The sequence below is a fragment of the Homo sapiens genome, chromosome 21, assembly GCF_000001405.40.
Source record: "Homo sapiens chromosome 21, GRCh38.p14 Primary Assembly".
NCBI classification, from domain to species: Eukaryota; Metazoa; Chordata; class Mammalia; order Primates; family Hominidae; genus Homo; species Homo sapiens.
This window is the reverse complement of record NC_000021.9, coordinates 16,570,904-16,594,515: the sequence shown is the minus strand read 5'-3', so window position 1 is coordinate 16,594,515 and position 23,612 is coordinate 16,570,904. Positions and strand designations below refer to the sequence as shown.

The 23,612-nt window shown below is 34.6% G+C and overlaps 1 long non-coding RNA gene and 1 other non-coding gene across 17 annotated transcripts in view, besides 2 other annotated features; both read right to left on the bottom strand.

The window, feature by feature from the left end:
• Nucleotides 1–23,612, bottom strand: part of MIR99AHG (mir-99a-let-7c cluster host gene) — a 561,240-nt gene that overhangs the window by 37,212 nt on the left and 500,416 nt on the right. For 4 of the 16 annotated variants that reach the window (NR_136542.1, NR_027790.3, NR_136552.1 and 1 more), the window contains one exon: nt 62–176. The exons of 10 other annotated variants lie outside the window; for them this stretch is intronic. This is a non-coding gene — a long non-coding RNA (mir-99a-let-7c cluster host gene). Of the gene's footprint in view, nt 1–61; nt 177–4,975; nt 5,164–5,768; nt 5,919–23,612 lie in introns of those variants that run through there. 2 more of the 16 variants (NR_136548.1, NR_136549.1) reach the window with 2 other exon arrangements.
• MIR125B2 (microRNA 125b-2) lies at nt 4,191–4,279 on the bottom strand. The gene has a single exon (NR_029694.1). It is a non-coding gene; the product is annotated as a microRNA 125b-2 (primary transcript).
• Nucleotides 6,795–7,489: an enhancer, noted in NCBI's record as "OCT4-NANOG hESC enhancer chr21:17959347-17960041 (GRCh37/hg19 assembly coordinates)". NCBI's record gives its function as "activates a minimal SCP1, AML or CMV promoter by ChIP-STARR-seq in primed H9 embryonic stem cells {active_cell/tissue: H9 hESC(primed)}" and the evidence as "EXISTENCE:reporter gene assay evidence [ECO:0000049][PMID:30033119]".
• Nucleotides 13,177–15,824: an enhancer, noted in NCBI's record as "VISTA enhancer hs1441". NCBI's record gives its function as "enhancer in: somite[7/9] | limb[9/9]" and the evidence as "EXISTENCE:transgenic organism evidence [ECO:0001131][PMID:17130149]".

Genomic DNA, 23,612 nt, shown 5'->3' with positions numbered 1-23,612 from the left:
TTTCTTATACTTCACTTATATGTCTAGAACGAATACATAGAAGAATTTCATAAAGACCTACCAATTTGGATGTATAAACTACTAATGTTGACTCATGGCCTAGGGAAAGCTAATTCAAAGGCAAGGACAGATGATTCCACAGAGTAGTCACTTGAGGCTCACAAATCATCAGACACCTATTGACAAAGAGGGAGAAACTTCTCAGAAGAGAGGCAAAGTTAAATCTATCAATCAACACAAAAGAACCCAAAACACCTCAAAGACCTTATATGGCCAAGACAAAACCTAGGAAGTTTTTATTCTTATTTACTTGACCTAATGAATATAGTCCATGATTATTTTTATACCTGTTTTGTTTGTTTAGAAATTAATTATTAAGGTAACAGATTTAAAGTCACGTTACTTATATCAATAATGAAAAATTTAGTTCACCTTATCAGAATTTTTCACTTTTAAGTTGTCCATAAAATATGCATGAAATTAACTGTTTATATAAAATGAAGCTATTTAATCTTAAATTCACTTAATCTCAATTACCTTCAAGTTCCACCTGCTTTCAAATTCCTACAAGTAAACTATTACATACAAGTTAATATTATTGGCTGCTAATGTACTTCATAAAGTTACATTTAACATGTAGAGACGTGGAGAAAAGCAACATTTAATGAAAATTGAAGCTAGCTCATTGAAGAAATGGTGTGAATCATTTTATGAAGATATGTCAATTTTTACACTGTTTTTACTAAACCTTTCAAGAAATAAAGACATATAGGAAATAAATATGTGACCGACTCTATAGTTGGTCACTGAAAGATAAGAAAACCAGGATGATGATAGATAATAAAGGTACCTAAGTTTCTGCACTCTAAATATGTATTTGCAGCGCTACACTAAAAGTCTATTTCTCAAATGTTTACAAGGGCCCAGGATTTTTTTTTTTTTTAAACTTCTCTATATTAGGAACTTTGTTTTCCTTATCCAAATGCAGTCTCTAAGGGATCAGTGGGATTTGAGTGCTAAGTTAAATGTCTAGTAAAAAATTAAACAAAAGAATTCAAGCAATCAAAATGATGCCTGCATTTGCTGCCTACAGAAATGTAGGCTGCATTGCATGTGTAAATGGCAAGAAAATTTGGGCGTTAGCTAACCCTTTATATACTGCTTTTCTCAAACTCATCCAAACATGACAGCTTGTAAAACCGTTTATATATTTAAGGTGTATTAGACCAAGCCTAGGCACATGTACCAGCCTGTCCATTTGAAGAGGAGTTTAAGGCAGAACATACCCTTTCTAATTTCATTAGTAATTAACTTGTACTATAATTCTCCTGAGATACTTATTTCTCTTCAAGACACTATTAATGTAGCCTAATGCTTAAATGATTTAAGAATATCTCTACACCTCTTCTGTAGCTCCACTGGAATACTAAAGTGTTTGGGACTTTTATACTGAAAAAGATATTGATCCCATGAACCCTGAAATGAAATATAATCATATTTAGATTTGGCAAAATTCCAGAGTGGCTTCCTTGATGGATCCTAAAAGGCTTTAAAAAATGCTATTTTGGAAAATTGATGTTTTCCTTACAGAGATTAAAAGTTAAAAGCATGAATATCACAATATTATCAGAGCAATACAAAAGAGACAAAAGAAAAGCTAATACTTCATTGGTCTTTGGTAGATGTTGAAGTTGAATGATGATTTTTTTTGCCAAAAAAAGGAACTTGAAGTTCACAGTAAATTAACAAACAATATGGGAAAGAAAATGAATCAGGCAGGGGTTAGTATATTTATGTAAAACAGTGATTGGCTATTTCAAAATTAAAATGTACAAATAAGCTGGTGTCAGAAAGGAGATGATTCCTCATTTCCACCGCATTGAGCAAGCTCACATCGGCAGCAGACAGCCCTTAATATATGCGTCTGGCTCAGGCTGGTCTCCCAACCAGGAAGCCATCGAATTGTTAATATCACTGTTTTTTTTGCATGCAACACACATCATTTTCTCGCTCTTTGTTGTAGATCTCTCCTTTTTATTTTAAGCTTAGTATGATCTGATTTTCCAAATCATATCATAAAGCCCTAAAACAATATTATCCTGTGACAGCTGAGATAGAAATGCAGAAAAAGTGGCATCTGTCTATGCACATACAGCATAAAGTAGCCTACATAAGCAAAGTCACCCACTTAAATCTATATACACCTTTATGAAGTAAAAGAAAAGCTTTGTCAATGACGCTCTTGAAAGACTGTTCATATAGGAGGGTTACATAGAGAAGTTCCAATTGTGCAGGATTATCAGTAAAAAACATTTTATATGTTTATGGTGAAAATGAACAAACATGACTGCATTCTCAATTCAGTTTTGGTATATTTCTTTTATGAGACAGAAGTTAATATATAGTGTGGTTCATGAATATGATAACATTAAAAAATTTTCACGTTTGAATAACCTATATCTGATATCACTATAGCCAATAAACATCTACCCCTTACATTGTTTTGGAACTAACTTGATGGAACCTTTCACAGATATTATTTATGATCATGTTAAAACAGATGTTAGTAAACACATACTTGTATGTGATATTCTTTTTTACAAGAAGTACTTTCAGATCCATTGTGTGAACATTGCTATTAAATGTAATCAAGCTTCTGTGTACATGTAGACACACATACATAGATTTCTTTGTATTAAGAAACTTATGGTTTTAAAAAATACTCAATTCCAATGAGAATGAGGTCAAAAGAAATAAAAGATAAATACTACCAAAGCTCTTTACTGTTTATATTACCTCCTTTCATTTGGAGCTTTAAAACTTATATTTATACATATACATACACACACCTAAAATTTCAGAACTTCTAGATAAATGAAGTAGATGATATAAATAAAGAATCTGAATAGGTACAGTGTGCATACATGCTTAAACATATTCTGCATGCTTTATATAGATGTGTATGTTTATGATATTGTTATAGTAATTTTTAATAACTATGACTAATAGATGATTTGTATTCTGTAATATTTCAAGTAGGTATTATAAGAAATTTTTAAAAAGATGAACAAAGACTCCGTACAGTATTCTAAAATACATTCATAAATTTATTTTAACAATGCAGAAGACACATAATTTATGGCACCCATCTAAGGCAATAGTTAAAAGAATGAAGCCACTTTGTTGCTTCTATTAAGGAAAGTCTGTCATCTCCATTTTGAATCTTGATATTTGTAACATTATTGTAAAATTTTTAAATAGATTTAGCATACTGATTCTATCTCCAAGAAAGACATATCTGATGTGGCAATGGCTATTAAACTTTCAAATATGACATATTACTTATGGTTGGAATAGTTACCTCCGATAAAGCTAAAATTCTTATAAAACTAAAACTATGCAGTTCATATGCAGTTGCTAGTCAAAGCAGTTTGACTTCATAGGTGGCGTTTACTGTTTTATCTCACGTAGGCCCATGATATGTACACAGTAAACTGTAAAAAATTTTAAAAAGACATATTTTCCCAGATTATTGGTGAAACTTTCACTCTTGGACTCTCGTAACAAAATAATTGTTAGAATTGTTAAGACATATAAAGTATGTTGGTTGGATAGAAGACTCAGAAAAGCCCTGGCAATAAATACAAAGTATAAAACAGCATTCTTCTTAAATCGGTAGTAAAATCTAATAGGGTCAATAAAGAAGATTGTAAATCATGTTATTTCTAGGCCTCAAGCATGCTTATAGCTGTATATGACATAGTCTGAGCCATAGTTATATGGAGGCATACAGGATTTATTTAAGTAGCTAATGTATATATTTCAATGCATATGAAAAGTTATAAATATAATCCCCTCTCTTCATTAACTGAAGAGATATCCTCTTATACTAGCCACCTTAAAATGCACCAAAAGAAGCATTTTAAAACACTTATATTTTAATTTTGCTTCTTACACAGGTTTCTTATATTGCTTTTGTATGATCGTTATAATACAAACGCTATTTCAGTGCAACTGTGTAATCACTTTAGAGTACAGTTTCTGACAATAGTATTTTTGGGGATGGGTCATGGTGAAAACGTTGCTGATGATAAAGAAAAGCATTGTTCTTTTCTCCTAGGCAGAATCTATGTATGTTCTTTTGTTCTGGTGGTAACTGCAGACAATCAATAAGGTCCAAAGCTGCTGGTTCCCCTCCGCCTAGGTCCCAAGAGCCTGACTTGTGATGTTACTAAAATACCTCACAAGTTAGGGTCTCAGGGACTAGGAAAAGTCTGGTTTGATGCGGTAGAATTCTTCTTCCAGAAATAAGGATAGCTTAGAAATTACAGTTGGGTTCACTTAGACTTTTACCTCTAAATACTATTTAAAATACTTCAGTAGAAATATATATGATATATAAAAGTTAGGATGAGCTGAGTAATCACGACGACCATTTATAGACTAATTCCAGACCTTAAAATAATGAAGAATATGAGAAACAATGCAGACAATGAACAGTTAAGAGTCATTCCATTAGATCCAAAGAAAGAGACTAAACATGGGTTAAAATCTGCTTCTAGCAGATTTGTACAGCAACACCATAGCCTCTATTACATTAAAGAAGGATTATATGCCAGTTAATGGGACCCTAATTGAAATTTTGCTTCCCATTACACTGCTATACAGCACAACTGGTAAGGTGGGCCCAGGACATATAATACTTTAAATCGGATTTAAATATATACCGTTGCAGTTAAGAACAAAACAAAAACTTTTCTGCATGTCATAATTTAATACCTCTGAAGCTTGATTTTTCTCTTTGAATCTCCAAACTATTCAGACAGCAAATATTTCCACGCATACTCTGTAGTTATTTGAGCAATGCCACTTAATAAACATGTAATTTAAAATGCTGGCAACATCATAAAAAAACCATGATTCTATTTCTTGAATAATTACATTATAAAGCTCAATACTTTTAAAAATACACAACCCCAATCCTGTATATTCACTGAATTTCCTCCGATCTTTTAGCCTTGTTTGTGGTTCGAGAACAGAATTTGTACTTTAGGAATGATCCAAGGTTTAGTAGCATAGAACGCAGGGTAAAACAATCGGACCAGCCATAATGTAAAAGTCCTGGCCACAGAAGTGGAATCTGGCTCTTCTGAGGTGGTTGATCTTAAAAGGGAAAAGAGGAGGAAAAAAAAAAAAATGGAAAGAATTAGAATGTTTTCCTGTAGAACAGGTGAATCATCCATTTCCAAGTAAGCTGCAAGGAAAGCTATACTGCACAAAATATTTGGTAATTGGCCCCCCTCCTCCACCCTAGTACCACACCCCTTTCCAACCACCACCCCCCACCCCCTGTCCAGATCTTTACTCTGCCTTGTAAGACTTTAAATATTCTGCTCCATGATGTAATGCATCATTATATAAGATCTCTTTCTGTTTATCATTTGATTTCCCATACTGAATCACTTATGGCTTAAAATAAATAGTTAAAAAACAAAAACCAAAAAAACAAAAAAGCAGCACTCACAAAAAGCGAAAAAATAAAACAGCCCTTAGATCTAAGTCCATGCTTTTCCCTAAAACTGAATATGGCTTTACAATTTTTGACCATAGCATTCAACCAATTATCAGAATGAAAAATCTCACCCCTCCATAAAAATGACATTAACATAATTATACCACCCCCATCACGGAGACCCATCCTCCTTAGGGAATACATCTGATGCTCCAAAGATGGAAATCAGTCAGATTTTAGTTGCTCTCCAACGTACCTTTGCTTCTCACTGACTGACTGGCTTTTACCCTCCACGCACTCACACGCCACCCCCTCCCCTCGGCTAGACACGGATGCCCGAGCGAGCACGCGCGCGCACACAGGCATACAGATACACAGCGAGAGGCGAGGCAAAGCATCTGATGCTGACTCAGAGCGCTTCTGTGAGCAGGGGGTGGCAGCGGCTGGTATTTTCACTGCGCTCATCATTAACATTAACTCACAGTCTAGCATCCACCCTCTCCCAGACCTGCTGGACTGCAGCATTTGCATGACGCTGTCACTCTAGCCTTTGCAGGTCAGATGATGGAAGCAAAAAAAAAGAAAGAAAAGAAAAAAGCCCCAAGGCTGTCTCATAGGAAATGCCTTCATTTCTTCCAGGGTCTCCTCATTTTTCCACCTTTCTACTTCCTCTCTGGCTGTTTCTCAGTTGTTTGACATCTTTCCGGAAGAAAATGTCTTGTGCTTCATTGAGCCAGTCGTCAGTTGGTCCTCCCCTCACCTCACACTCCTGATCCCCACCCCTTTCCCCCGCTAATCAATAAGACGGATCTCCAAATGCAGTTGTGGAAACAGGCTCCGGCACAGTCTCATCCTGGATCCCCTACCTCAGGAAGCAGGCAGCCAGGCTCACACGTGATAGAGAGAAGTAATGCCAGCAATTCTTTAATAGCCCTAGATTGTATTCTATGCCTTCATTTTCCCCACCTTGGTCGAAGGAAGAGCAAAGGGGACTTTCCACTTCTACATGAAGCTCCCAAGCAGCCCAAAAGACACATGAGTGAGACCAATCTGTATAGATCAATCATTTCTATGTGATAATGAAAAAAACCCTATGATTTTAATAAAAGTAATTGCTTAATATTTTTATTAGCTGTGCTCTCATTTCACAGGAATTGTAAGACCTGCCAGGATCTGAGTCATCAATATGATTTAAACTGTGTTGAAATCCTAAGTTGCTTAATAAAATCAACCAACAGAGATATTAGTATATTTTATTTTTTTTTTTAATTTAAGAACTTTTAAAATAATAACAAATAGCTGTGTGGGAGTGGATATGTAAAAGTCTTTGAGATTGAGAAATGTTTGCAGCCTATAAATATGAACAATTGACTATATACGTTTAAATAAAATATGGATTCTTGTACATATGTGGAGACAACCTACTATATGCGTTATTACAAAAGGAAGTAAAACATTTGGCTGAACACAAATGTGTTTGTGCTACAGTGTTTCGCAACACAAAAGGCAATATATAGGTATTTACTCAGTTCCTTTGTTCTTCAATTGCTCCCTTTAATGACAGAGTGTGGTAAAGTCCCTACCTTTCCTTTCTACATAAACAGCATTTTTGAATTACTTGCCAGACAGAGCTAGCCATCAGTGACTCGGCAGCATACAAGAAATACATACAAAGGGAAGCAAAGTACGGCAATTCTCAAGCCAACTCTAATGCTGTCTGGTGCTGTAGAAATTTCAGTTTACTCACACAGACAGATCCCAGCATGCAGTGCGGCACTGCAGGCTCAACTAAGGTAGCAGATTGGCAACAGATCTGTGGCAACAAACAAGAAGGACAACCATTCGCAGAGGTTCCAAAGAAAACATCACACAACCTATAAAGAGATAGAAGCATCGGTAGTAGGGTATGTATCTCTAAGATCAGTTCCTACAGGCTCCTGATTTGAAAGCAAAAGGAAAAAGAAACCTCTCAAACGCAAGAATAAAAATAGAAAAAGAAGTTGGCACCAGAAGGAAACAGAATTAAGAATATACTCTCATGAGAGAGAAAAGCAAGAAGGAAAATAATAACAGGGAAGAAGAAAGGGAAACACAGAAATGGGAAGAGGGAAGGGAAGAATGAAAAAGGAGAGAAAGAAACAGGTAGCAAAGAATCCCTAAGCATTGAAGCAACAATAAAATATGAAATTAAGTTTCTGACATGGAAGAATAGGAGTAGTATTCAACAAGCTTAGAATCTAATGAAAAACTAAAGCAAAAATTAACTCATGTGCAGCATAGCTTAAAATACTTGTCATTAACGTTGAGACACCTGCTGACTTCTTCCTGTTCTATGTGGATTAAATAAATTGGTCATCTCTTAATCTCTCTTTGCTCAGACCCACCTTTTTTTTTTTTTCTTTTTTAGTTCTCTGGCATCTGTGTCCTTTATGCTATTTATTTTTCTAGACAGTTGCCCACAATACTTTGGATAAATTAATGTCATGACCTCGCTATGGCTATCAGACATAAAATGTTGACTATTTTAATAATTGAACATGTGCTTACAGCAACTGCCTACTGATATTCCAGCTCTGTGGACTCCACATGAACACTGCACTCCTAGCTCTGTGAATCAGAAACAACAAATGCAAATACAACTTTTTTTTCCCCTAATCCATGCTATCTCTCTATTACATACAGAGATATACACACACACAGGCCTTAACTTTACAGAAGGCATAACAATGTTAACTGAGGAATTTAGAAAATCAAGAGGAATAAATACTCGCCAAAAAATTCATACTTAGAACTGAATGGCCATGCATTTAAAATATTTATATCCAGATAGAGGTTAGCCAGATCCGAGTGCACAGGCTTCTGGTAGGACTTCCGTTAAGGCCAATGGGAATGCAGACTTGATTAAATCAATATTTATTTGAAAGAAGATGTTGCAATCAATTAGTCCAATTACCACTGTCATATATACAGGTTTAAGGTCTCTTCTAATTCTTAACATCTTATCATCAATACAAAAGCATCCCTAAATCAGAGTTTATACTTTGACTATGGCTAAAATATTTACAAAGTAAAATTTTGATGCTGTTTTACATTTAATTTAAGTAGTATAATGCAAGTATTGCCTTGCTAGATCAACTATTTTTGTGATTTTGGAGATTTGTTCTGTTAACTTTCTAAAAAATAAGTAAGATAGATATGAATTTAATGTCAAAAAATATTTTCAGTTAAAGGAAGTAATAACTGACTACTCTGAAATACTTTAATACAACCTGCCTTCTACCTGACTACTAAGGCAGGAATCTTTTATTTCTTATAAACGCCATTTGAAATCAGTGCTAAGAAGGGGATCATATTTAAATTATTTAGTGAGATTTGGAGTAAGAAGGATAGAAGACAAAAGACAAAAAATCAACTACAGTTCAAATTTTGACTCAAAATTCATGGATGTGCAGAATTTATTGTTTATTACTTGCATTTTTTCTTTGTTTTACTTAACCTGCATTCTCCAATAAGCTGTGACCAGCCACGTGTAGCTATTTAAATTTAAATTAAAGTGAAAATTCATTTTTTTTTCTGTTGCCCTAGCCATATTTCAAATGTGTAGAAGGGCACATGGTGGTGGATACCATTTTGAACAGCCTGGATATAAAACATTTCCAACCCTGCAGAAAGTTTTATAGGAGACTGTTGACTTAAATTTTCCTTGTGAAAAGTTTTATAGCATAATTGATTATGGGATCTCAATATTTTCTTTCAAGTCTCTTTTAAGAGAATGAAACTATGTTGATTTATTTGAAGATCTAAAATAGAATTTCTTTTGACTGAAGAGTATCTATTATTTTTATTTACTAATAGTCTGGAAATATGCATGATTACTTAAGGAAAAAGGGTATATAGATACTAACTTTGAAATAGTTGATAACAATACTATCAGAAGACACAAAAAAACTACTCAAGCTAAAGTCTCCGAATAAATATGAGGTGTTTACTTGTCTAACTTTTCCAGAAATGACAGTCATTCTCTTTTTAGAGCCAAACAACACATATTACATATTTCTGCTTTCAATAAAGAAGTGATGTAATAGTAGTGTGAGTAGCAAAAATTCAAAAAAAAAAAAGTCTTTTCTAAAAATCCAGTTAAAATAAGGAGCAATCAGCAGTTAGGAGCATACAAAACTGTTTTTTTGTTTTTTTTTTTTGTTTTTTTTTTAGGAGACAAGGAAGAGTAATTAAAGGACAAGGGAGACAAAAATCAGATTCTTGTGGACTAGGATGAACTGGTTGGGAATTTTCTTTTTTTCTGTTTTTGTTTTTCAGATGGAAAGTTGCTCTGTCGCCCAGGCTGGAGTGCAATGGCACGATCTGGCTCACTGCAACCTCAGCTTCCCGGGTTCAAGTGATTCTCCTGCCTCAGCCTCGTGAGTAGCTGGGATTACAGGAGCATGCCACCATGACTGTCTAATTTTTGTATTTTTAGTTGAGACGGGGGTTTCACCATGTTGGCCAGGCTGGTCTCGAACTCCTGACCTTGTGGTCTGCCCACCTCGTCCTCCCAAAGTGCTGGGATTACAGGCATGAGCCACCACTCCCAGCCCTGGTTAGGAATTTTCTACAGAATTAACTGAGAAAAAATCCCAGATGATACGAGTGTGTTTGTGAGTGTGTGTGTGTGTGTGTGTGTGTGTGTGTGTACCTTGGTATGACAATTTTGATTTACAAATCAGATTCTAGAACTAATAATTATTTTAAGCCAAATTAAATAATGTAAAATGTAAATTTATATGAGTTATTACTTTAAAAGGTTCACGATGAAAGAGATCATTGGTTTTTAACAAGGAAAAAAAAAACTTGACCTATATTTTCTTTCAAGATTTTTGTATTTGGACAAGAAAATGACTCAGTGTTAAATTCAGGCACTTTATGACCAGGATGCAATAGGTTTGCCAACCTGAAATTACTTTCTTTCTCTTTCTTTTGATATATGTAAGTGTAGAATATCACAACTACCATGGAAAAACAAATAATCAGAGATTTCTCCTCCTTTTAGGAATGATCCTGGCATGTAAAAATCTAATGTTCATTCTTGCATTTAGTAATACAAAAAAGTTGTAATTCATTGTAGCAATCTCTTTTTCATGGCTTCCCTTCCCTGTTTTCTTTCCTCTTGCCCTCTCCCCTCTTCTGCTCTCCGGAAGTGTACAACCTACTTTCCAGTCTAGTCTGTTAGTCACCAGTATCCACAAGGGGACCTCATTCAAAGCACACTACAGAGATGACACTGAGATGAGGGAACAGAGCAAGAAGAGGAACTTGAGGAAGGTCTTGAGTTAAAAGTGATGTGAACTTTGTTGTGCAACCACACATAGGAACAACTAGGTCTTGAGGATGCTGGTGGAGTGTTTCTCTTTCAGGGAAAAGGCAGGGAATGATAATAAGGGGCAATTTGGAGACCACAAAAATTATACCCTAACAAATTATATACAAATCTGAGGCCAGGCACGGTGGCTCACTCCTGTAATCCCAGCACTTTGGGAGGCAGAGGCGGGTGGATCACCTGAGGTAAGGAGCTCAAGACCAGCCTGGCCAACATGGTGAAAACCCATCCTACTAAAAATATAAAAATTAGCCGAGCTTGTTGGTGCACACCTGTAGTTACAGCTACTCTAGAGGCTGAGGCAGGAGAATTGCTTGAACTCAGGAGGCAGATGCTGCAGTGAGCCGAGATCACGCCACCCTGGGTAACAGAGCGAGATTCTGTCTCAAAAAAATAAATAAATAAAATAAAAAAATATATATATATATACACACACAAATCTGGAAGAGTATTTTTCAATAGTTCTCCATATTGTACATACTAATAAGTAATGTTTCTGCTGGGTTGATGTGCTTCCTAACAGGTGAGAGAGAAAATAATTAATCCTGGCTTTTTAAGAATGAATATAAGTGAGAAGCCTTCAAATGACTTCAGAATCACTGTTGTATTTAGACTGTGAATATTATGGTACAGGATCAATAAAAATTTATGTTTTAAGTAACGTAACTATAGAAAAGTACTATTTTCCATATGGTAGGCCATGTACAACACCATGAAACGAAGTGAGAAAGTAGAAAAATAACTGATCTAAGAGTGAGAAAAACTGGTTCTAGTGCCAATTCTGTAATTAATAATGTCTATCATCTTGGATAAGTCATTTAACTCTTGGAACCTAAGTTCTCTTATTTTTAAAATGAGGAGAGAGGACTAGGTTATCTCCAAAGCCCAATTTAGCCCTAAATCCTGTGCAATGGAAGGACAGTACAATTGGAAACACATCCTGGTAATTACTATCTGCTATTTAGATATCTGTTTACATAATTATCTAATTTAACCCTCATAATAACTGTCCAGTAACATTTATCCCCAGTAAAGCTAATAACATAGCCTCTTCCTATATCCCTGTGGTATCTCACCTAGTAGCTGAATTTCAAAAATGTGTATGATCTCAGGCCAGGCGTGGTGGCTCATTCCTGTAATTGCAGCACTTTGGGAGGCTGAGGCAGGTCAATCACCTGAGGTCAGGAGTTCGAGACCAGTCTGACCAATATGGTGAAACCCCATCTCTACTAAAAATACAAAAATTAGCTGGGCGTTGTGGTGTGCGCCTGTAGTCCCAGATATTCAGGAGGCTGAAACAGGAGAATTGCTTGAGCCAGGAGGCAGAGGTTGCACCGAGCCGAGATCAGGCCACTGCACTCTAGCCTGGGCAACAGAGTGAGACTCCATCTCAAAAAAAAAAAAAAAAAAAAAATTGTACCATTTCACATTAGCTGCATAATATGGCAACTTCAAAATGTTATACTAGATCTTTTATGTAGATTACTTTATTCCCACTGAAATTTTTAATTATTTGAAATACTATATAAAGTATTTTCATTTTATAACTAGATAGTAATTTTCTAAGATTTAAAAATGTGTAAACACAGTTATGGCATAGGCACTGGGGAGAAAACCTCATAATTTCATTGGATGACTGCAAAAATTAGCCAATGTGGATTAAAAAAACATTTTAGGATTCATTGATCTAATAGACACACTTTAGCTTTAATAAGGCATTTAAAATTTGTCAGGATAAGATATATAGTTTATAAAACCTCCTTAAGTGGATTTCTGAAATTTGGAATACAAAGGAAACCAGAAAAACAGGTGAATCATAGGTTAAAAATTCTCTATCAACTTGCAAAAACTTTAAAAACATCTTTTTTGGTTTCAAAAAATATTCATTTTTCAAGTGCTCCTTAATTGAAGGGGAATAAAGTTATTAATGGATTGGTATTATACTGACTGTGTATAATCATTTTTATTCTAGATTTTTAGAGTTTTCTTTCATGTAAAAAATATGCTAATTTTGTAGGGTTCTTTTCATAAGAAAAGAAAATGCTTTATCTACTAATTATGACAGTTAGCAGGAGCACAAAATATAGAGTAAATTATTTTAAATTAAAAAGTGCTCTCTCTTTATAGATACTTTTTTCTTTTCTAAGTTTTTCATATTAATTTATATACTTTATTTTCAAGATTGAATTTCACTTTGCTATCTCTATGCTCAGTAATAGAAATTGCTCTCACTTTTAGAAGTATAAGTAATGTGAGATGAGTTTAACTTAAAAAAAAAAAACAAAAACCATGTTATTCTATGAAGGATGCCACTATAGCATATTCTCAAACTCTATTACTCAGGTCTTCAATCTTGGTTAAAGAAGCTTCCATTACATGGAGTTAGTGGAAAATGCTTCTAAGCATTATAAACATCATTTAAATATTTCTGAATAATGAAGGTTCAAGTGTATTCTGCATTCTCATGCTTTGTTCTATCTTTTCCAATCAATTGTATTGATTTTGTTAAGGGTTAGAAGGTATACTTTCATTGATCAAGAAAATAGCGTAACATAGCAAAACTGACTTTCAATTCAAGACAGATCAATCCCACCTTTGTCTCCTATTAGATATATTATGCTTATTTATTCTGCATCTTTAAATTCCATAATATATAGCTGTTTAAGAAAGGAAATAGCAAAGAATTGTCTATTTTCTTGGAAAATATAACACATTCCTGGGTGTTCCCCACACTGAACTGCTACTGAACTTAGGAGACCTTGTGACACCTAGTCAAGTGCTTGGCCTCAGTCTCAAGTTCACTGAAGAATGTGGGCCCTTTTCAGGAGTTTAGAAAGCATTAAAGAAAAAAATAAATTTCCAAAAAATATTGAAATCATTTAGCAAATCAGTGTTTGAGAAAATAATGATGAAGACATATCATCGTAGCTATCTGTTCCAGAGCCACCGCTCACTTTTTTAATGCCACAGTGGAACTGGGTGAGCTGTAAACAATTCATTGGTTCTGACAGCTTATAACTTAGGAAACAGAATGATCCAAGTTAAGTTACCTTAAAAAAATAATGCAATAGAACAAACAAAAAACTCCTCACACAAGATAGTGTTAGTATATTAGTCTCTTTGGGGAGGTATTTTGTTAGGCTCTGTATACCAAAGCTCCAAGAGTTAGCATTTTGACTTTTACTAGCCTGGAAAGTTATATGCTGATTAACGCTCTTCCAAACTCTCCATACAAAACTTTACTTTTATAACAAATAAAACATTCACAAATTCAAAAGCCTAATAGCCTAAGTGGCCCACAGGCATGTTAATTTTTTACAGTAATGTTTGACTATATTTCTTTATACAGCAATTTAATTAATGTATTTTCTCTTATGTGACACTAGCCATAACTCACTGAGGAAAAGGGTTAAGTTAGAACTTATGTTCAGATACTTTGCTATTATAAAGTATTGAGTTTAAGAGAAAATGTATTCCCATTCCCGTGCCTGACAAAGACATGTTTTAAAGTACACATTAAACAAAAGAAAACTGCTTTTCAATTACTAAATGCAGTGCTCAGTAGGACAGAAAACGTACTGCTTCTCTTAAATGCTAGACCTTTAAAACATTTGCTGGATGACAGCACTATAAAAAAATACAGTTTCTTTAGTAGAAGAATTAAAGCTGAATATGCAACATTTCTTAGAAGCATTGAATAAGTCTATTTGTCCAGCTTACTTTGCAAAGACTGCGTAGAAAACAGCACCATAAACACTTTCAGTCCCCACACAAGGGCTAAACAAAGAGTCCTCTTTCCAGCCATCTAATCGGGTAATTTATTTTTTCAACCATCACATAAATCGAAACACAGCTGTAACCAATGACTTGCAGATCCAGTTCCCAGCCAGCTGGAATCAGTTCTGCTGAAACAGCAAGATTTTTACATTGTTCACTTCTGTACATCTGGAGAAATCATTGAGGTTCAAAGGTGACCAGAAAAGCTCTTTAAATAAATTCAACTGACAGTGAAGATTTGCCTAAGGATCTACAAACTCTACATTCACTTCTACAAAATGTTCATGTCATGAAATTAATGCTTATAAAGGCTATTTGCATCCCAGTCAATATAGACTTTATGAGTTGCTAACTGAATTAAGCACTTAAATGCCAATTTCTTTCAAAAAGCTTGCATAGGTTTCCTCGAAACTTTTTCCTAGGAGTTGTTGCTATTTAAAGACGGTTCTATTAAAATACTACATTACAGGCAGAAAATCAACCATAAGAACCTGTAACAAAACCAGATACTAGAAAGGTACCTACTCATATCTCAAGTTCAATCGTTTTTAGCTAATATAATCCTTTATTTAGATAAAATGAATAGAAATATTATCTGAAAGAAAGCAGAGCTGGAATACCTCCATCCAGCTAGGCCGGCAAATCCCTCAAAGGAGCCAGAGTCCTGGGAGAAACAAATGTGGGTTAGGAATGTTCCATAAGCAGTCTTGCAGGGAAGTGATTCTGGCACAAGAAGGAGAGAAACCCACGAGCACCAACAACTTTTGCTCTGCCTTAGAAGCACAGAGCTGTACATAGGGCAAAAGCTAAGACTCCCCAGAGCAAAACCAGAGGCAGTCAATCTTTGATGTAAACAGCCCTACATAATAATTGGATAAACTTAGAATAAATAAAAATCTAGAAGAATAAGTGTATTATTGGCATTTATATTATGCACAATATATCAATTCCAATGCATCATTTTCTTCACAAAAGCCATCAAAAAGATACCTATTTGTGAAATAAATATATACGTCTGACAAACTTCTCAAGTCAGTTTTTATTGTGGTTAGAAAACAATGTACAAGCGAATCACAAATGCGTTTTACTTTCTTTAGTTAAATCAATATACAGGGAAACAAGTTATTTTCATTAACCATCTTTTTTCAAATGTGTGGGCATTTCAATTACGGTGGATCAATAATCAGTAACTTCCTTAGGCATTGTGCCTTGAAAAAGATTGAACCAATAAATAGTGATAATGTATAGTTCTCAGTTCATGCTGAATGACAGATGGCGATCACATAGTGAGTAGCAATTCACAATTAGATATTAAATTCATATAAAGATGTTTAAGTTCATGCACTTGTTAAATGTGACTGATTTTTATGTGTCAATCACTGTGTACACAGGCTATAGAAACATGGTCTGGAACAGTTAGAAATGTGATTTAATAAATAATAAAGTATTCGATATTCGAGGATTACCTTTAAGACTTTCAAGGTAATGAAAAATTACACCTACCCAAAAGGCAGGTGATCTGCATTCTTGCCCACCACTGGTTATTAACTCACTGTAGGATATGGAGGAAGGGGATCTAGAGAGGCACACAACCTCTCTAGATCTCCCGTAGAATAAAGGTCTCATGTTGTTTCCAGCTGGCTGGAATATGCATATTTTTGCAAGGAATTTTTAAAATCCTGATATACATCTGCCAATACTGTTGCTTCTGAAATGTAAAATGCCAAATTTTCTCCCTTAAAAGATGTCATTACTTTCTGAGTAAACACCATTTAAAAAAATCTCTCCTTTTTAAGATATGAACCAAGCAATCCAGAAGTAACTAGAGTCTACTAACTTATATTGTTGATTAGTGCAGGGAAAGTTAAATTTACAGGGAAAATTTGTGAATGAACATTGCTAAACTTTATGAATATATCATTTAAAAGTAAGCAGCCAGTTAAACATATCATTGTTTTAAAACTGGACTAAAATTAAACATCTCCCATACTCTGTTCTCTACTGTGATATTAAGGTATTCTTCATAAGTAAATTCACATGACTGAGTTTTCAGTTTATAAACATTTTAATGATTTTAATTCACACGTATTCCAGAATTCTGTGGTCCTGTGATGTATAGTTATTCAAATATACAATGTTTCTAAAGCATCTGTAACATATGACAATTTACATATATTATATATGTACAATTTACACATATTATATATGTACAATTTACACATATAATATATGTGCAATTTACATATATTATATATGTACAATTTACATATATTATATATGTACAATTTACATATATTATATATGTGCAATTTACATATATTATATATGTACAATTTACATATATAATATATGTACAATTTACATATCTTATATATGTACAATTTACATATATATGTACAATTTACATATATTATATATGTACAATTTACATATATTATATATGTACAATTTACATATATTATATATGTACAATTTACATATATTATATATGTACAATTTACATATATTATATATGTACAATTTACATATATTATATATGTACAATTTACATATATTAATATAAGTGAAGATTTACTATATTTGTAAGAGTAAAAATATCCAAGAATTTTTATTATTTATGATAGAATGTCAGCTGAACCAGTAGCAGTAGAAACTGTCACACAAATACTTGTTCAGAAAAAAACATAACAATTCAGCTAAAAGAAAAAAAACGGGGGCGGTGGGGGGTAAATCTTACTAGAAAACAACTTGTTTTAGGTGTTTCCCAACAGATGATATCTTGAAATATGCCCAGCTAACATGTAAATTTCAAAAGTTAGTTTCTTACTTAAACTTATTATTATCAAAGTTTGATCTAATATTTTTTACCCAGTTTCTTTTTTCATAATTCCTCTAGACTGTAAATTACAAAATAAATATTTAGTATGTGATCCATACAACATATGCTATGAAAACGCTATAGAAAAATGCTCTATGTGTCACTATGAGCTTGCTAAACTAAAAATGGGTGCCAGGCTTTATTCTTTTACAAGAACTAAAAATAGGTTTCTCATATAGATTTGAGCTGGTAGACTGAAGGAGAAAGTTCTAACATAGGTGAATATTCCATGTCCATTTGCAAACATATTTTACTCTTATTACTTAGTACATTGATATTAGCTTAACTCTTTTTAAAGAGTAGAGAAACATGGCATTTTATTAATATTGCGAGTTTTTTGTTAGTCATATATATAAAATATTGTGATAATAATAATTTTAATTTCTTAGAGCTAGGTGTTAAAGAGACACAACATACATTTTTAAAGTATGTATTGAAATATAATTGCCATTAAACTAGCTCTAAAATTATGTTTGATTACTATTTAGTAAGGGCTTTTTAATCCTAATAATGGTTTTGTAATGATTAAGGCAGCTTTCATTTATATTAGTTATTTGTTTATAGGCCTATTTTGTTTGTAATAGCACATAAGTCTCCTTGGAAAGTGGTAGAATTTTAGATATTTAAAAGTAGTTTGGTGGAAAGTAATGAAAATGTATATTCAGAGAAGGGTGAAAAGTTTAGTCTTTTTGGATAAAGTATAACATGATGAGAATATTGGAAGGTAGAACTGGAGAGAACCATGGAAACAGGGAAGGAGCTCATAGACAAAATCAGATTCTTAACATGCATTCTAGAATCTTCCACAATCAAACAATACTTCCAAATTAAGATTTAATAGGAATTAATTTGTCTCTTTATTATTTAAAGAAAAATATGTAATATTAAAAAAGTTCTTCTCCATTTCTGAAGAAGGAGAATTGGAGCTTATACTGACTTGCAAAATTCTCACGAATTGTTTAAGTTCACCATTGTATACAAACAGAAATAAAGATTTTTCAAAGTCTACAATGACCTTGATCATTTTAAAATTGGATGGGTTTTCTTTGCCAACCCAACTCTGGCAAGTCCAGCCACTTTTTTTTTGAGACGGAGTCTAGCTCCGTCTCCAGGATGGAGTGCAGTGGCACTATCTCAGCTCACTGCAAGCTCCGCCTCCCGGGTTCTGCCTCAGCCTCCCGAGTAGCTGGGATTACAAGCACCAGCCACCATGCCCAGCTAATTTTTGCATTTTCAGTAGAGACGGGGTTTCATCATGTTGGCCAGGATGGTCTCGATCTCCTGACCTGGTTATCCACCCACCTCGGTCTCCCAAAGTGCCGGGATTACAGGCGTGAGCCACTGCGCCCGGCCAGTCCAGCCCCAGCCCCACCTTTTTTTTTTTTTTTTAAATCAAGTTGGATCTTTGTTTTTTTTGTTTTGTTTTGTTTTGTTTTGTTTTTTGAGACGGAGTCTCTCTCTGTTGCCCAGACTGAAATGCAGTGGCTAGAACTCGGCTTACTGCGATCTCCGCCTACCGGGTTCAAGTGACTTCCTGCCTCAGCCTCCCAGTAGCTGGGATTACATGCGCCTGCCACCACGCCCAGCTAATTTTTGTATTTTTAGTAGAGGCAGGGTTTCACCATGTTGGCCAGGCTTGTCTCAAAGTCCTGACCTCCCGTGATCTGCCCGCCTCGGCCTCCCAAAGTGCTGTGATTTACAGGCGTGAGCCACTGCGCCCAGCCTATCAAGTTGGATCTTGGTGATATTCATTCAATATGAAGTACCAAGTGAAAATGATCAGGATATTTAAAAATCCTAAGATTATAGTTAAGCATTTTGAGTGTTTGATTGGGTTATTGATTACACTGACTCCTTGTCAGTAGGTAGATATCACTAGCCATTTTAGAATGTTTTACAAGAGGGTTTAGCCAAAGTCTTTGTCAAAAAGGAACACGCCATTAATTTGGGTGTAAATTTTTTGGGAGAAAATTACGTGTGTGTGTGTGTGTGTTTGTGTCTGTGTGTGTGTCTGTGTGAGAGACAGACACACACACATAGAGAGAGAAAGAGAGACAGAGAGAGAGACACACACATACACACAGAATTTTGTAGTTTAAATCTTTCAAGTCGCACACTTGAAACTCTAAGAGGGCACAGAGATTCCCGTAAAAGTGGTTCATAGAGGAGCTTTTCTTGTCTTTGGAGGCCTAATTAATATTATGTGGCAATAGGTGAAGCTATTAAAAATTTTTATTTTAATTACACTAAAATTAGAAACTCTTTCAAGATCAGCTGACACTCGTGTTCAGGCCAAGTTTTGGCCTATCCTTTCCCCCAGTCTTACCATCCTCATAGTTAATCAGTTTTAAAGAACTACAATTTCTTCCTTTCTAAAGAGAGAATTGTAAGACATTATATTTGAAAACTCTTGAGTTTATTTTCTTTCCAGAGGATCCATAAGTCTTCCAAATCGACCATGTAAATCAATTCACTTATCTCTCCCTCTCTTGAACTAGTAAAATTTCCCAAAATGTTACAGATACTGTTTTAAGCAAGCCAGGATATAGCTTGTAAATTACCTAATATGCTTTGTTCATGAACTAGCCCAGATGGAAAGATTATATCCATATAATTGTACCCATTAGTTTTCTATCTGTGCAATAAATTAAAATGAAATGTGAGGGGGGAGAGATTCTGTGTCAAGTATACCAGTACTTTTAGCCTTTTAGAACCAACTTTATGTATGTGAAAATTCAATATGTAAAAATTTAAAAAATCATATTCAAATGGGCACTTCAAATGGCACATCTGTGTCAAGAAGGGTTACACAAGGTTATTTCTAGAGCTTTCAGTCACTTGAATTTAATTTGACATATATTTTATAAATATCCACTGAGCACAAGTTACCAAGTTGCTAAAAGAATTACAAAAATGAAGGGAAAAATAGCTTCTGTCTTCAAGAAGTTTAATATATGGTAGAGAGTCAGATATAGAAATTATGATCTATGGAAAGTGTGAAGCATTCTATCAAATGCAAAGTGCTATAAAAGCACAGGAGAAAAAGACAGTAAATACTGAGTGCTTTATAGAAGGCTTCCAGCAGGAAGCTCCACTTGAGTTAAACCTTGAAGGAAAAGGACTGTTCAACAGGAAAATCTAGAAGAGGGAGAAAAGACATAGTCTGTGGGCTGAGCAGGAGGAAAGGCTCAGGCTGGGAATTCACACAGTTTGGGGGAAATGACTAGAACTGCAAAAATGCTGGCTTATACAAGGAATGTTACTAGGAAAAATGGCCAGGCAGTTGGATTGGGGGTTTGGTCAGACAGGGTGTTTGGTGTACTAAGAAGTAATACTTTGGGCATAAATGACCGACTAAAATCTTTTTGAGTAAAAGTTTTAGATTAGCATAAGACACACAACAACAATGCTAACAATTACTATGTAGTTAATACCAAATCCATACCTAGCTCGGTGCTAGTACATATAATGGCATTTTATCATCCACTGGGTAAACAGTATTTAATTGTTAGCAATTTATTGACAAGAAATCTGAGCTTCAAAGAAGTAATGTACCCAATGTGTTACCACTAGTAAGTGGCCAGAATTTGATTGTGGCCTATCTGATTCCATTCATTCCTTTCTTAAGTCTTCAGTCAGATTACCTCCCAAAATTAAATTGGTCTCTCTGCAAGCACAGTGTTAAATCTCAGTACACCATAGGATAAGTAGTCTGTGTCAGGTCAGAGAGGATTCTACAAAGAAACTAACAGTGCGCACAGATTCCAGGAGTTTCTTTATATTTGGAACATTTTGCAAGTGACAGAGGACGCAAATATAGGTTTTTCTGATCTCAAAGCTCATGTTCTTTCTTTTATGTTACTATTGGACTAATCAATATTTTAAGTAGCTGTGAAAAATTTCATCTCAGGAATGTATTTGTTTAACGAATTCGCAAATGTTGAGAATCTCTAAGGCTTCAAATTTGGGAACATGGCCAGGCACAGTGGCTCACGCCCATAATCCCAGCACTTTGGGAGGCCGAGGCGGGTGGATCATGAGGTCAGGAGATCGAGACCATCCTGGCTAACATGGTGAAACACCGTCTCTACTAAAAATACAAAAAATCAGCCGGGTGTGGTGGCACGATCCTGCAGTCTCAGCTACTCAGGAGGCTGAGGCAGGAGAATGGCTTGAACCTGGGAGGCAGAGGTTGCAGTGAGCCGAGATAGTGCCACTGCACTCCAGCCTGGGCAACGGAGTGAGACTCCGTCCCCCCCACCCCCCAAAAATATTGGGGATCAAATGTATAGTGTTAAAATGAATACTTTTTTCCATGTGTCTTTTTCCTCTATTTGAATTCTCTCCTTTGTATAACACTGTAGAAGTGAGAAGGTTATAATGATTTAAAGCAGCTGAATAACTTTGGCATAACTGAATAATTGATATCCTAGAGATATTTTCCATTTTTATTTGAATTCTATAATGTATCAAGCATAAAACCATAATATCTAATATGAATTCATTCAAGTCTTTGCTTGTCAGTTTCATTCATTCATTTTTCCATTGGCTCATTACTTAACTATTGTGTTGTCTATTCACTTCTTATCTGACTACACATTATATGACTGAAGATTCAGCTAAAGATTAGACTTTTCATTATCTAGTAAGCCTGTGAGAGTAGTCACTGAATACCTTAATGTTCAAGAAAACTTAAGTCATTAAGAAGTTCAGGAACTTAAATATTCTATCCCATGTGGTAGTCTCAAGTTTCATGACAAAGTAGACCACTTAGTGATACATCATGATGTCATTTCCAGAGGAATAAAGTCAGTTCTTGGAAAAAAATTTATAACAAAACTTCCAGGAGCGTTTTAGTTTTACCAGAATAAAATCTATCAGTCTGGAGGCTTCTTTTTGCATTCCTGGGTCATTCATATTTCTAACTACTTTTTTAAACTTTTTGAAAATAATCACTTAGACTATAGAAAAGTAAGCATAAATGTATCACAGAAAAAGTATTTTTTAGGGGTCTAAATTAAATTTGAAAGCACATCACACTTCTAATTTGAGAATTTAATATGTGAAAGAGAGACAGATGAAAGAAAACAAAACTTAGAAACTGAGTTCTAATTTTCTCTCTGCCATGTTCATTGTGCAACTACAGACAGGATACTTAACACCTCAAGGCTTCGGTTTCTTCCTTTGAAAATGCATTACACTACCACCGTGGAATGGAACATCAATTTTGCAACTTTAAAACCATTGAAAACAAAAAGCGCCATACAAACATAAAATAACATTTCCTTGTAACAGATTGATTTGGAGTTATTTTCCCTGCTATTTTTAAAGTAAATTTTGTTAAATGGAGAAAAAAAAATCCCAATTCATGACTATTTCTTAAACTTGGCTTTATGTGTCTGGAATTCTTTGACAGAGTTGTTGATTTTTGAAGATGTGAAATGCAGCAAAAACGAGGATAAAGTCTGAACTCCTATTGATTACGGTACATAAGCTGTAGTGGGGTAAAAATAAATAAAGACAAGTAGTTAAGTTTTCAGGATCTGAAGGCACTGTTATTTTGAGTTGAAGAAGCAGATGAATACAGTTTCCAAACTATAACAATGCCATCTCAAGTTACATATCCCTTCCAAAAGAGTTCTAGATTTAAAGAAAACAATGACAAATATGAAATGCATTTTAGACTCCTTTGAAAAAGCAACTTTTATGATTATATTTAAAAAAAACTGCTTGCACATAGACCCTAAAAAAAAGAGTACACTTATGGGAAGGAGGAAGAGGCAAGTGAACAAGTCAGAAAAATCTAATATTTACGGGTCCTTTTACTGGTTTCTTCCATGCACCATGATGATTTTGTCCTGAGTAGCAGCAGCCGAGGACTTCTTCACTAGAGCAGGAGCAGATACATTGGATGCATTCTCAAAATCCCCAACCAGTTTTAAAGGAATCTGACTTGTGAAAGCAGTAATTTATCCAAACCTCAGGCATCCAACTTCTACAACTGTAAAGTGAAAGTATACGCCCATATACCTTGGAAAAATTTGTTTAGTTTTTAATTTTTATGGGTACAT